Genomic DNA, 15252 nt, shown 5'->3' with positions numbered 1-15252 from the left:
TTGGGGTTAATGAAACTTCAGGACAATTTCAGCTTTGCTGAAATTTCACACAAAGGACTTACAGAGTTCTACTGAGAAAAGGGTCTTTTTCACTGTGTAGGCCATCCCACACTGCCCTCAAAACCTGGTTCGACACATACATCTTTCAAGAAGGTTTCCCCAAAGAAAACAAAAAATAAAAGAAGCTTTTTCTGACCCTGTCCCAGCTGCTTCTACCATTCAATGCCTTTTGAATGCAACATGTCCTTTATGCAGATTTTGTGCAGAAATAGAGGACTGAGTCCAGAAATAAGGCTCTGCTGTGTGACCCTGCACAAGTAAATTTCCATCTCTGAGCCTCAGATATTGGGCCAGATGACCCATCAAGCTCCTTGGGAATCATATGTTCTATTAAACATTGCTTTGGAGCAGGTGGTTCTCCTTACTGGGGCTGTTTGTCTGCCTGAACAATTTACAGGGACTTGGCCAATAGGAAGTCTTTATTTACTTCATTCTCCAAGCCCCTCCATGTACAGTGAGTTCTTGATAGATGTTTACCGGTTGACTGACATATTAGTCCACATGCTCCGTGTGCTAGAAAAAGCCTAACTGTGCATCAAAATCTGCAAAATGCAAATATATCACCATTCTGTTTTCACAGACATATTCTCGTTGGCAACAGCAGATGTGGTTAAGCTAATTACAAGAAAGCTCAGAAAAAGGAGAGCAGACACTGCAAATGCGCAATAGGCTTAAGGTAATGAAGCTGCAGGATACACCAGCCCAGATCAAGAAGCTGGTAAATAATGAGGATGGCAATGCCCAATACTGCCTGGCAGTGATGAGGTGAGCAATTTAGCCTGCGAGCATCACCTCACTGGGAAAGTTAATAGCCCCCCAGGCTTTAAAGGGAAAGCCACGAAACAGCTGTGATGGTGGCATAGGAGGGGCTGCCTCTAGATGTGCTTTTTAAAAAGCATCATATGTTTTATCCTGGGGCTCCTGAAGTGTCTTGGGAAATGGCCAAAGAAGTTTTGCTTTGTAAGTGCCTGAAAAATGCTGTTAAGAGCTCAACACAGCCCTTAAAGAATCCTATAACATTGTGGCAATTAAATGACTTTGCTACCAGCAAGATTAAGCTTTTTCCTGTGAAATGGGTTGGTTGCTGGCCTATAAAACCATATGCTATGCAGTTACTCAGCACATAGGCCAGGGAAAAACAAGCGATTGTTATAAAGACAAAATAGTAAGAAATGGTGGTGAGCAGGATGGGTAGTTGGTCTGAAAGCCAGACTGCTCTAATATCCCCATGGAAGTAAAATATCAGGACCTCAAAGTAGGTCCAGCTTCAGTTCCAGGACAAGGGTGAACCAGTGTGGCACACAGGGTACAAAAGTTAAGGAGGCACTCACTCTTAGGGTCATGCATGACCCTAGTCCCAGCCCTGCCCATCTGAAAAATCACTGATGCTCAGAAGCCTTTCTCCTTTCTGTCTCCCTCAGCCCATAATTTATATTTCTATTATTTCTCATCTTTAGTACAGTGGTTACTTGGGCTCTATCACTTACTAGCTCACTACATATTTTTATGTAGAAATGTCTAGCATGCAATAAAATATGGCATGCACAGAGATAAGACAATGTGATTAACAAGAAGAAACTAAGCGAAGAAAGACTCAGAGGATTCAGATAATGTGGTAATCAGACATGAACTTTAAAGTAACAATGCTTAATCTGTTCAGTAAGAAACCAGATAAAAAATTTCAATAGATAAATGAAATCTATAATAAAAAAAGAAATGGAAATTCTATAGCTGAAAATTTAGTCACTGGAAAGAAGAACTTAGTGAATAGGTTTTAAAAAAGAGGCAGGAGAAATGAGCTGGAAGATAGGCCATGTTATGGATAAAATAAAGCTCAGAGAGACAAAATGATAGACAATGCATAAAAGAAGAGGCACAGAGTATCTGATTAAAAGGTCTAATATACATGTAATTGGAATCACAGAGGACAGGCAAAAAGAGGTGAGGCAAGGAAAGGAGAAAAGGGAGAGAAGAGAAAAGAGGAGGAATAGAACAGGACAGAAGCAATCTTTGAATAGATAAAGGCTGACAATTTTCCAAAACTAATTTAAAACATCAAGCCAGGGTTTTAAAAGCTCTATAAAATCCGACAAGATGAAAACAAAACTGTGCTTTATTACAACATAGTAAAACTGCTAAAAACCAAAAATAAAGAAAAATACCTTAAAAACAATCAGATGAGGGAAAAAAATAAAGATCACTTTTTAAGGAGCAACAATAAGAATGATAACCAACCTCTCAAAAGAGAAAGCACAGCCCAAACAATGGAATAATACCTTCAGCTGAAAGAAAATTGTTTCCAACCCAGGCAAACAAAACAAAACAAAAAAACCTAAGAGGAAATTTAATGGGCACAGCGTCAAATAGTGAGATTATGGCAAAGCCAGAACCACTAGAAGAGGTAAGTGTGAACTCTGGGATAAAGTTGGTGACTTGAGGAGATCGTCTTGAGGGCTTGAGCAGGGTCTCTATCTACTGGAAGGTTTTTTGTTTTTGTTTTTTTGTTTTTTTGAGACAGTCTCACTCTGTCACCCAGGCTGGAGTGCAGAGGTGCGATCCCTGCTCACTGCAACCTCCGCCTCCCAGGTTCAAGCAATTCTCCTGCCTCAGCCTCCTGAGTAGCTGGGATTACAATTGCACGCCACCGCGCCCAGCTAATTTTGTATTTTTAGTAGAGACGGGGTATCACCATGTTAACCAGTCTGGTCTCGAACTTCCGACCTCAGGTGATCCACCCACCTCTGCCTCCAAAGGGTGCTCATTACAGGTGTGAGCCACTGTGCCTGGCCTGGAAGTTCTTAATAATATGTAAGGATCAGCCTGCTTTCCCTCCCTGAACCCTCATTAAGCCTATTTTAGGGTGGATGCCTTCTGCAAAGTCTTCATTAGCAGGTCAATAATCAGTTAATGACACTTTACCTTTAAAACAGGGAGAAAGATCACACAGAGATGCTGCCTGAAGCTAATTAAATCATCTAACTCAGACCTCTAATAAGAAGACTTAATGAGTGCCAAGCATCAGAGAATATCTCATTTTTTAAGCCAATAGAACTTAGGTTAAATCTATACCACATAGACAAAGAAGATTAAAAACAAATGAAAAAATTAGAGAACATTCACATGATGGTAAGAGAAAGAGTCCTAGAAAGTTGAATGAAAAGGAAGAATGGATTCTAAACAGGCAGAGTTAACACATAAATCCATGGAGGCTGCACAGTGCACAACCGTAGGGGAGGCCAGCCACATAGACCAAATAGCAGTGGCCCCTTTTGGGGGTGTGTAGTGCACTAACCCTGTAGGTAGGCTGAGATATTTCTAGGAATTGGGAAGTGTGTTGGGCAGAATAATGACTCCCAAAGATGTTCATATCCTAATCCTCAGAACCTGTAAGTATGTTACCTTAAATGGCAAAAAGGGATGTGGCAGATGTGATTAAATTAAGGCTCTTGGAATGAGGAGTTTATCTTGGTTTATCTGGGTGGGCCCCATGTATTCTTGAGGGTCCTTATGAGGCAGCAGCAGGAGAGTCAGAGTAGGAAGAGATGTGATAATGGAAGTAGACGGGAGGCTCGGGGGAGAAAGAGACAATGAGAGAGAGAGACTTGAAGAAGCTGTCTGGCTGGCTTGAAGGTAAAGGAAGGGCCACCAGCCAAGGAATGCAGGCCATCCCTAGAAACCAGAATAGACAAGGAAACAGATTTCCCCCTAGAGCCTCCAGAAGGAACACAGACCTGCTGATGCCCCGATGAGGGACCCTTTCAAACATCTAACCTGCAGAACTGTAAGATAATAAATTGGGTTGTCTTAAGCCACCATGTCTGTGGTCATTTGTTAGAGCAGCAATAGGAAACCAACACAGGAAGCAAAACATTCTAAGAAAGGGAGGTGGACTTTCCAGAAGGACAACATTCAAGCAGCAGAGGAGAGGAAAACTGTAATAGGAGAGAGAGGGTTCTGAAAACAAGAGAAACATTATAAAAGTAGGGGAAACGAGTGTTCTAAGTATGGAGAATGGAAAAGAAGGCCAAAGTGTGAATAACAACAGATAGTTCTGATTGCAGAAGGGGACATCGCTCTGAGGGGCCCAGGGAATGGCCCAACAGTTGAAATCTGGCTTACACACAGAATTCCATGAATGTTTGTTCATTGAATGAGTAAACAGATGCATTTTTTTTTTCAAGACAGGGTCTTGCTCTATCACCCAGGCTGGAGTGCAGTAGCATGATCATAGTTCACTGCAGCCTCCACCACCACGCCCAGCTAATTTTTTATTTTTTGTAGAGATGTGGTCTCGCCATATCGCCTAGGCTGGTCTTAAACTCCTGGACTCAAACGATCCTCCTGCCTCAGCTTCCTAAAGTGCTGGGATTACAGGCGTGAACCACCAGGCTCAGACAAAATATTTTACTGTGAGTCTATGATGTGTAAAATGTTGTGGGCTTTTCTGTGTGATGTGGAGATAAACCTCACATGTCAAATCTCATCAGTTGATCCAAAAGACTCTACCTTTAAGATATATGCAGAGCCCACCTCTCTTCCTTTCCATGGCTACACTGATTAAAGGTGCCTTTATCTCCAATCTGAGTAACTTTAAGAGTCTCCCAACGGGCCTTTCTGCTTCTCTCCTTGCCCCTTCGGAATACACTGGATCTGGCATCTTCGCGTTGCAACATTAAGTCATTGTGCCGAGAGTCCTCTCTTGGTTTCCCATCTCTCCCAGAATAAAAGCCAAAGTCCTTACCAGGCCCCATGTGATCTTTTCCCACTGGCCTCATCGCCTTCCCGCTTCCTGTCATTTGTCCATTCCAGCCACATTGACCTCCTTGAGCATGCCGGGCATAGTGAGGCTTCAGGGTCTGGAATTTGCTCTTCCCTCCGCATCTAAAGGCTCTTTGCCCAGTTAGTTGCATGGTTGCCCAGTTAACCATGCAGCTAAAATGTGAGGCTACAAAAGTAGTCTGAGGACAAATTTCAGGACAGCTTAATAGCCAGGCTACAGAAATGTGACGGTCTCCTATGGGGCAGATTTCCTCTTCAGGGAATATTAACACTTATCGTGAAAAAATGTTTTGTGGTCTAATACCTTTGGGAAATATCAAGTTTTGAAAAAGAAGTTAAAAAAAAAGTTCTTTGTTGCAGGACTTCTCAGTTTCTTTACCATGGTAACTGGCATTTCAGATCCCCAAAACAGATGTGATATAAAGCATTTCTCAAGCTTTCTTGTCACTGTATTTGGAGGGAGTGATGTTCCAAAAAAAACCAGACTTTGAGAATGTTCCTGGTGGTAAGAAGTAAGAGCCACTGAAGATTTCTGGAGAGAGGGGTGGTAACACCAACTAGTGTTCTGGAAGGAATGTGGAGGATGGAGTGAACAGGAAAAGTAAAGAAGGCCAGTAGCCCAGCAGGGAGGCCAATGTAACGTTCAGATGAGCACTAAAAGAACCCATGGGAACAGGGGATGGGAACCATTCAAGGAACAATCTGCAGGGCGGGCCTGGCTGTGGATAAAGACATGGTGTAAAGAATTAAGGCTTACTGAATTTTCAAGCTGGAGTGTCTGGGAGAACAACGGGGCTATGAGTCAGGATAGGGAGGACGGGGGCAGCTAACTTGGATAGAGGAGGGAAGTAAAAATAATGAATTCAGTCTGGTGCATAGGAGAACAAAGGTATTATATCCTTCATGTGTTTTTGAGACAGGGTCTCTTGCTCTCCTGCCCAGGCTGGAATGCAGTGATGTGATCATGATGTCACTGCAGCCTCGACCTCCCAGGCTCAAGTAATCCTCCCGCCTCCACCTCCTGAGTAGCTGGCACCATGAGCATGTGCCATCACACCCGGCTGAATTTTTATGTTTTGTAGAGACGGGGATCCCACTATGTTGCTGAGGCTAGTCTCAAATTCCTGGGCTCAAGTGATCCTCCCCGCCTCTAAATCCTTCTGAGCAAGGGCAGTTTCAGTAATGGAGATAGAGAAACTGATGCCAGACATCCACAAATGAAAACTGAGAACAGCTGGTAACAAATGAAGGCATTTTCCAGCCCCTGTCTTCTCAGTATGTATGAGATCCACATGCTAAGACAGTCATGCTGGTGATCAAATTACTTTTTGAACAAGTGATCAAAAGAGAAGAAGTCCTAATGAAATCCTAATGAATTGTATCTCAGGCTACTTACCTCTGACAGTGCTTACTTTATTAAGTCGGCTGTCAGGAAGCAGCAGGGCCTCTCACCAGTGTGCCCAGCTCAGGGCTCAGCCCACTCCAAATACAGTGACAAGAAAGCTTGAGAAATGCTGTCAACCTCAGGAGGGAGGATGAGAGGTGGGGCTACAGAACCCAGACAGCTGAGCCCACAGAGAGCATTTGGGGATCCACCAGTCCAGCCTTCATTGGCAGATGCAGCCTCTCAGACCCAGAGCACTTATTAGGACAGCATTGTGTAGTGAAAAGAGAGTTGACTGAATCCAATTCAGTTAGCATTGAGCCTCAGCTTTCTCACGTGCAAAATGGGAGTGCTGGACTAGATCTCATTTTCCCAAGTCAGCCATTCCACGACCACCTTTACCACTTGTACATCCCACAACCATTTTTTTTATTCGACACTTTTATTTTTAAAAAGGTAACTTCATCTTGCAAGGTAAAACAAGTACTACTTGACAGAAATGGAAAGTCACTTTAAAAAGAAAACCAATGAAACAAAATAGTGTCATTGGAATATGCAATGTGATGCTGTTTTTTTTGTTTGTTTGTTTCTTTGTTTGTTTTTTTGAGACAGAGTCTTGCTCTGTCGCCCAGGCTGGAGTGCAGTGACACGATCTCGGCTCACAGCAACTTCTGCCTCCTGGGTTCAAGTGATTCAGGCGCCTCAGCCTCCGGAGTAGCTGGGATTACAGATGTGCGCCACCACGCCTGGCTACTTTTTGTATTTTTAGTAGGGATAGGGTTTCTCCATGTTGGTCAGGCTGTCTCCAACTCCTGACTTCAGGTGATCCGTGCTCCTCGGCCTCCCAAAGTGCTGGGATTACAGGTGTGAGCCACCACACCTGGCCAATGTGAAGCATTTCTTTAACTTTCTCTTTACTGTATTTGGAGGGACTGGTGTTCCAAGAGGTAGACTTTGGGAAATGTTCCCATAGGTGTCACTGATCTCTTTAGGAAGGGACTGTGCCTGAAACCTGTGCTATCTCTTATTAAAAAGGGAGGTTTCAAGTTGAGAGATATTCGAGACACATGAACATCAAAAGTGGCTTTCTTCTACAAGTAGTTAGAAGGATAAAACATGGCAAAACTCCCTTCATATCAATCCAACACTATTTAATGCTGGTTTTGACCTAAAATCACTCGTTGAAAGTCTAAAATCAACAGGATTCTCACTTAAGACTGGACCAACAGTTTTGAAGTTTACATTCAGTTCTGATAGTCCATTTTACTGTGCAACACAAATCTATTTGACTAGATCTGGTTCTATTAGAATCCCATTTGGTTTTAAGATTTGTAAGACAAAGATTTTTCTAGTCCTACCCTCCTAGGCTGCAGTCATTGTGGAACTAGAGCCAATGCTTGAATTCCTGCTAATCCATTCCCCCAAGAACTCTCACCCAGCCTCAGCTCCCCTAACAGAGAGCTCACTTTTTCTCCAAGGCAGCCATTCCATCCTCAAAATTTTCTCCCTTACATGGAGCAAAAACTAGACCACACTGAAAGTCTTTGATAAGATGAGCTTAAGAACTCATTACTGTAGCCGTGTGCAACCCCAAGGCTGTAGACCTGGGCAGGGTCTGGGTTTGAATACAAGTGTGTCTAACCCCAAAGCTGCTCCCTTCCTCATTATGCTCCCCAGAATCCCCAGCTCTGGTGGGACTCTCTGGATTCTAGGCTCTCACTCGCCATATTGAGCAAGTAATTACCTTTCTATCCAGCTCAGTTCCTTTACCTGAAATACATGGTAGAATTGGACATCTTGCTTTAATATTCTAAGGCATCATTTTCAGTTTAAATAGCTATTTGTGGAGTGTTTATTCCATGCCAGGCACTTTAGATAGATTGACTATAATCCCCATTTTGCAGGTGAAACCCAGATTAAGTAGCTTACACAGGGCCATACACTAATAAATGGTGAAACTGAGATTTCTACTATGAGGTTGAGGGGCCTGTATCAGAGATTTCTCCCCTTGACCTCCTACTCACTGAGGCACCAGGAGGTGCCTGGTGGTACTTTACCTTTTAGTCAGATCAACACCTCTGTCTTAGGTTGCTTAGGCTGCTATTATATAATAGAATTCTATAGACTGGGTAGTTTAAACAATAAATGTTTATTCTCACAGTTCTGGAGGCTGGGAAGTCCAAGATCAAGGTGTCAGCCGACCTGGCATGACTGGTATCTTCATGCGACCAAGAGAGGGAGAGGTTATCTCTCTTTTGTCTCTTCTTGTCAGGGCATTAATCCCATTGAAAGTCTAAAATCCCAATAAGGATGCTAGCTCTAGCACCTTCATTCTTAACTCATTCTGTTTGTGTTAGGAATGCTTGCCTTCTGGTTTCTATACTAATTGAGTTTTGGCTTTATTTGATGTTTTTTGTTTTGTTTTTAAATTGGGATTTCTGAAAACTAGACTTACCTATATAGACATTGTTATGAACTGAATGTGACTCTCCAAAATTCATACGTTAAAATACCAACCCCAATGTGATGGTATTTGGAAGTGGGGTCTTTAGGAAGTAATGAGGTCATGAGGTCATGAGGGCAAAACGCTCATGAATGGGATTCGTGTCCTGATAAGAAGAGACACAAGAGAGATAACTTCTCTCTCTCTTGGTGGCATGAAGACACCAGTCATGCCAGGTCTGCTGACACCTTGATCTTGGACTTCCCAGCCTCCAGAACTGTGAGAAATAAACATTTATTGTTTAAACTACCCAGTCTATAGAATTCTATTATATAATAGCAGCCTAAGCGCCTAAGATAGAGGTATTGATCTGACTAAAAGGCGAAGTACCACCAGGCGCCTCCTGGTGCCTCAGTGAGTAGGAGGTCAAGGGGAGAAATCTCTGATACAGGCCCCTCAACCTACTCACTTCTTTTCCAGGTTCTCTCCACATCCTGCGTGTTCCTCTCCTAGACTGCTAGACTGCAGGGACTCAGCTTCTCTTCCCAATACCTGCTTCTGCTTTCTGAAAAAGTCTCCCCAGACACACATTCATAAATCCCCCTTGGTCTTAGTGGGAAGGACTAAGATCTCTTTGTCTTTGCAAAACTGTATAGTGTAAGGAGCAAAAGGCCTTAAAGGTCTAAGGTCAACTCAGTTCACCCAGCTGTGTGATAAGTCAGTCAATCACTTTAATCCTAAATTTACTATCTGTAAAATGGGAATCATAATACCTACCTCAGCAGGACTGAGGGAGCTTTAGTGTGATGAAAGGTATACGAGACAACAATCACCACACCGGACACATGGTAAGTGCCCACATGTTTGCTTCCTCTCTGTTTTGTATCCTTTCATGACCTGCATGGAGGCCTGCAAGCTCAGGAATTTGCACACAAGGCTGCTCAAGCATTGTTGGCCAAACCCGCAAGAATATTTCATCCTGAGATTCTGACTTATAAGCTCAGGGTATCTGGGAATAGTCCAAGTCACCTGAGTTCTTAAGCGCACCTCTCAGGTCCCCAGGAGACACATTCAGATGTGGGATTGCAGCGAGGGATCAGGCACAGCTTCATTGAAGTGGCATTTGTGGTGAGGCCACTTCTCTGGCCAGGTAGACCTAATAGATCTCGTGCCACATCTGGTTCACTCACCTGCAGCAGTTCAAATACAGCAAGGAGATCCCCTCCAGAGAGATTCCCACAAAAGATGGGGTGATAGCATAACCTGGGGGGCTCATAGTCCTGGTCAGCCAGCTTCACAACAGGAGCAGCCACTGTGGCACCCAAATATTCTGGCTTCCCCTAAAGAAGAAAAGAAATGAGTTTGTATTTCCTGATCATTAATTACCTGGTTCTGATCCACATCAATGCCATCACCTCCACAAAATAACCTCCACAAAACCATCAGCTTCCATGTCTCACTCTTTTCTCCTGCCAAGCTCCTCTTGCCCATTTCCGTAGGTCTGGGGAGCAGTGGGTTCCACTCATGCTCCTAAAAGGGTCATCCTGGCTGGCCAGGACCCTGTATGATCCTAAAAGGACCTGTATGATCCTAAAAGGGTCATACAGGCGCGGTAGCTCAGGCCTGTAATCCCAGCACTTTAGAAGGCCGTGGCAGGTGTATCATGAGGTCAAGAGATCAAGCCCATCCTGGCCAACATGGTGAAACCCTGTCTCTACTAAAAATACAAAAATTAGTTGGGCATGGTGGTGCACACCTGTAGTCCCAGCTACTTGGGAGGCTGAGGCAGGAGAATCACTTAAACCCGGGATGTGGAGGTTGCAGTAAGCCGAGATCGCACCACTGCACTCCAGCCTGGTGACAGAGAGAGATGTCTCAAAAAAAGAAAAAAGAAAAAAAAAAAGGTGGTGGGGGTGCTCATCCTAGGGGCTTTCTGGCCCAAAGCTATCTTAGGGGCTATCTCTCTCATATATTGAGCTCAGTAGGATATAGTTAAAATCATTATCCAGGGAAGACTGGAAGGGGAAAAGGAAAAATCAGGCGGCAGCAAACATTCCAAAGGATCTGCAGGGCAGGGCATCACTGTGGTTGGGAGCACGAGCTTTGGAGCCAGGCAGACTTCAGTTTGAGCTCTCACATCTGTCACTGTCTAGTTCTATGCCCTTGGGCCAGCTGCTCAACCTCTGAATGCCTCACACCTAAAAAGGATTTAAAAGTAATACCTTTCCATAGGATCATGAGAACTAAAGGAATGTAGTATAGGCTTTGCATAGGGACTGGTATACAAGTGCCCAATACATAGTAATGATGAAGATGATCAATATGTCTAAGTGATGGGGCAGTCCTGCCCTATTTTTCTTGGTAGCAAAAAAGGATATTAAAATATTTTTGTATGTATGTATGTAGGCCATATGTTTCTATAAGAAGTATGCGATGCGATGGCTCTGCTTCCTGCCTCTTTTGCAAGACTGTGTGCACATTCCCCCAGAGGCAGCATGGGGCTGCGCAGTCATTCTGCTGTGCTATTTGTCTCAAGAACTGCTAGAATACAAGCTCCTTGTGGGCAGAGTTGCCTGCACTATTCACTGCTGTGTCCCCTAGCACAGGGCAGATACTCAATGCATGCTGGCTGAGTGAAAGCTGTTGGACCTCTGCCATCCAAGGTCAGTGCCCTTGCTCTTTTTGGCTGAGGCTGGGTTTTAGCAGTCACACTGCTTCATTGTCTCTGGACTCCTGAAGCAATATGTGCAACCCCAGCTGTAGAAGGAAACTTGGTTGAGATGGAAACCAGGCTTTTGTTCAACCACACTTGAAAACAAAGCTGCCTGCTGGTGTCCACTAGTGGAGACAGACCTGTTTTGGGGATGGGTGGAGTTAGGGCAGCTGGCTAGGAAATCAGTGATCTGCCTAACAATTTGTTCATTAACCCAGCTGGGAATGGTTAATTCAAATTAGCCCTGGAAACAAAAGAGTAAACATAGCCCAAGCAACCAATTTTCCAAATATAAACTCATTTATTCCAGAACCAGCAGATTCTTATGAGGCCATTGGGAAATGAGGTAAGGTTCTAGACTGGAAGCATGGGTCCAGCAGATTCTGATTCCATTAATCTGAGCATCACCATATTTTGGGCCCTGTTTAGCTGCAGCGCACAAGGGTGAACAAAAGTTTTTGCATGTCTACATGTATTTCCCTGGGAGCAAAGTGCATATTTTCATATTCCTTTCTCTCCCACATTTCTTTTTCCCTTTAGAGTCAATAATGTCAGCTGAATTTCTCCATAAAGGGCTTGACTTAGGGTTGGGCCAGGAAAAGCCATTACTGAATGGAGATCTGGAAGGGAAATGGAAAGCAATGGGACAGCAAAGGGAAACACAGCCAGCTCAGCAGGTTAGTGTAACAGGACTATGACCTACATACAAACATACAAAAATATTTTAATATCCTTTTTTACTACCAAGAAAAAGAGGGCAGGACTCCCTCATCACTTAAACATATCAATCATCTTCATCATTACTACGTATTGGGCACTTGTATACCAGTCACTATGCAAAGCCTATACAACATTCCTTTAGTCCTCATGATCCTATAGAAAGGTATTATTTTTAACTCTTTTTTAGGCATGAGGCGTTCAGAGGTTGAGCAGCTGGCCCAAGGGCATAGAGCTAGAAAGTAGCAGATGTGAGAGCTCAAACTGAAGTCTGCCTGGCTCCAAAGTTTGTGCTCCTAACCACAATGGTACCCTGCCCTGCAGATCTTTGGAATGTTTGCTGTCACCTGATTTTTCCTAGTAGAGTGTTCAAAGACGCTCTATTGCTATTATTGTTTTCTGCATAGAAAATAAACACTAACAATTGAAAGCATGTTGTTAAGAACAAAATTGAAAAGGTAATGATTTTGTGGTCTTCCCTACAGAGCATCTATACTACATGCTAAATAGTAGAAATCCTCTTCCATAAATATACACATCTATCCCCAATTTATAGATAGGGGAATGGGGCCCAGAGGGAGGGAGTGGCTTGGAGGGCTAGAATGTGGATGTATAGACTGCTACACTAGCCTCCACCACCTGTACAGGCAAAAGTGGGCACAGGGGACCTGGTTCAGCCTCCAACCAACTATGGCTTTAAAGAAGGTATTTGAGCTTTCTGTGTCTGTTTCCTCCTCTAGGAAGCAAGATGGGAACTTCATGGTCTCCAAGGTCTCCGCTCCCCTTCTGTGATGCTCACTTCTTGACTCCCTCCTGACCTTGACCCAAAGACAGGGGCTGTCAGGAGTACTGCGAGGAGGTGGGGAAGCTTTAGGCAGGCTTCCTGGAACTACTGTTTTACTTAATATATTTGTGCTTCTGCAACCTCATGAGGAGGTAGAGATATTAAATAAAGAAACAAACCCTTTCCTTTCATTTTAGACTACCTAATTTAAGAAAAGAATATTTGTGTAAGTTAAAAAAATCCTCCAGTAAGCTTTGGACTCTATCCAAGGGTTCAGCACACAAACGTCTTTGGAGAACAAGAGGTTTGGTTCACATCATAAAAGAAAAGGGATAGAGATTAAAGTGTTGTGAAAGGCGTCGAAGCAACAAGCAAGAGAGAAAGAAACACAGAAAGGCTGAGAAAATACCCATCCATTTCTTTTCAGCCAGGGGAGATCAGTAAAAACCTCCTGTCTCCAAAAAGCATGGACATTTTTATTAAACAGCAATAGGACCTGGAATTAGCTGGAGGCTGGGTACAGTTGCAGGTTGCTTTATACAAGTATCACATTCCTGAAGAAGTGTGTAGACTGACGTTCTGTAAACCAGATCCAATTTTAATTGCCATTTAAATGGAAGTCAGTGAAAAACTCTTTTAGTAAAGCAAATGATCATCACCAATCTTTTTGGTTCTGTGAACTGTTTTCAGAGGTCAAGTTTGCCTCTAGGTACATCTAGTGTTCTCACCACTCACAGCGTCAGGACTTTATTTACTTTAAAATAAAGTGAGTGAGTTCAACGTGGCATTTTTTATGAGGTGTGGTCAGCACTGGCCCAGGGGGACACTCACCACAGCGTCGCTGTCATACAGCTCCACCACCACTAAGGGCGGGGACTCTGCCAGCTCCTTCACATCTCCATGCAGCACCAAATCATTGAACAGCAGCATCTGGTTCCAGGTCGGAGAGAGGGTCTGGGAGATTATCTGGAAGCAGGGACCAAAGAAAAGCAAAAGATCATTCAATTGAGTTATAGGGGCTCTAAGGTTCATTCATCAAATACTTATACAGGGGAAAGAGAACACATCATCATTGTGATTGCTCACCATTCAATATTCAAGTGACTATGTAAACTGAGCAGCTACTATGTACTAAACAATGCTAGGGAACACAAAGACTCCCAACCGTGGAGAAGCGTACATTCTTAAGTTTCATGAGCAGAGCCCCTACATGTTTAACACCCTCTTTGCATACATACTTTCAGCTCAGTCCTCACAGTAGTGCCAATGATAACACTAGCCACTTTTTTGAGCATTTATGGTGTGCTGAATTTCACATGCACTGTCTCATTCAACCCTCACAATAATTCTGGGAGGTAGGTTCAGTTATTTACACACATTTTACAGATCAGGAAACTGAGGCTCACTTGTCCAGAGCCAGCAAGTGGCAGAACTGAGGTTCCACCTGGACCATCTGGCAGCAAAGCCCAGGCAGGCTGCTAACCTCACCCACTCTCGCCATGTAGATGCTAATATTATCCCCATTTTATGAATGAGAACACGGAGGATTGGGGAGATTACATGATTCTTGACTTAGGAGCAAATAAAATTTTGTCATCAAATATCCTGAAGTTGGGTATTTGACCTAATATTCCTTATGTGGAATTCTACTGTTTTGTGGTTATTGACTGAATTAAATAGATCAAGGTTTTCAAAACTGCTCTCACCATTTTGCATGACAACTTTCTTACACTGATAGTAGACTGTACCATTATACAGTTGGAGCAGTCAATGGATACAGAGGATAATAATCTGCATAATTGCCCTCAGACCATGAGCATCTTGCCTAGAAGTGGCTTACAGCCCCCTCCTAGGCCATTTAAGTGGTGCCCTCAGAAGGGAGGGCATATTTGGTCTTGCATTTTCTTCTCTATTTAATTGGATGTTTGGAAACCTGCCAATTTCACACAGCCGAAGACTGGAGTTGTTTGCGGGGCAAGTGGACTCTGCACCTGGGCAGAAGCTATTCCATTAATGCAGGAGACTAGTCCTGGAAAGAGTTCAAAACCACATTTCTTTCTCTTCCAGGCAAATGAGTGATTTCATAGGTGAATGTATCACAGCAGCTGCTGGGTCCAGGGGAAGTTTCTGAACTGTGCCTTTGTCTGTCACTGTTCAATCTAGGAGGAAAGTCTAGAGGGAGACCTGGCCTGGACTCCAAAACTCGTATCAACTGTCATCTCAGCGTTTTACATCGAGTCATTTCTAGTCACAGCATTAAGTCATTTGCCCTGTGGTCACAAAGGAATATTTTTATTGCTCTTCTTTATGTGGGTCATAAAAATATTGTGCATTTTCACAATTTCCTTCTCTTCTTGCTTTTTCACTTTTAG

At 43.5% G+C, this 15252-nt stretch overlaps 1 protein-coding gene and 1 long non-coding RNA gene across 11 annotated transcripts in view; one reads left to right on the top strand and one right to left on the bottom strand.

Annotated features, from left to right (window-relative positions):
- Window positions 1-13542, top strand: part of FER1L6-AS2 (FER1L6 antisense RNA 2) — a 125452-nt gene extending 111910 nt beyond the window's left edge. Inside the window, exons 3-5 of the long non-coding RNA NR_103547.1 lie at window positions 641-825; window positions 11920-12056; window positions 12837-13542. This is a non-coding gene — a long non-coding RNA (FER1L6 antisense RNA 2). The remainder of the gene's footprint in view (window positions 1-640; window positions 826-11919; window positions 12057-12836) is intronic.
- FER1L6 (fer-1 like family member 6) overlaps window positions 1-15252 on the bottom strand; it is a 268075-nt gene that overhangs the window by 60449 nt on the left and 192374 nt on the right. For all 10 annotated transcript variants that reach the window (XR_928347.3, NM_001039112.2, XM_011517231.3 and 7 more), the window contains 2 exons: window positions 13712-13846; window positions 9857-10006 (listed from right to left, as the gene is read on the bottom strand). Coding sequence is in view for 9 of the 10 variants with exons in the window: in NM_001039112.2 (NP_001034201.2) it covers window positions 9857-10006; window positions 13712-13846 (285 nt within the window). In the remaining variant the exon portion in view is untranslated. The remainder of the gene's footprint in view (window positions 1-9856; window positions 10007-13711; window positions 13847-15252) is intronic.

The sequence above is a fragment of the Homo sapiens genome, chromosome 8 (assembly GCF_000001405.40).
Source record: "Homo sapiens chromosome 8, GRCh38.p14 Primary Assembly".
In the NCBI taxonomy this organism is placed as follows: Eukaryota; Metazoa; Chordata; class Mammalia; order Primates; family Hominidae; genus Homo; species Homo sapiens.
The sequence above is the reverse complement of the archived record's forward strand: the minus strand, read 5'-3'. Positions and strand labels throughout refer to the sequence as shown.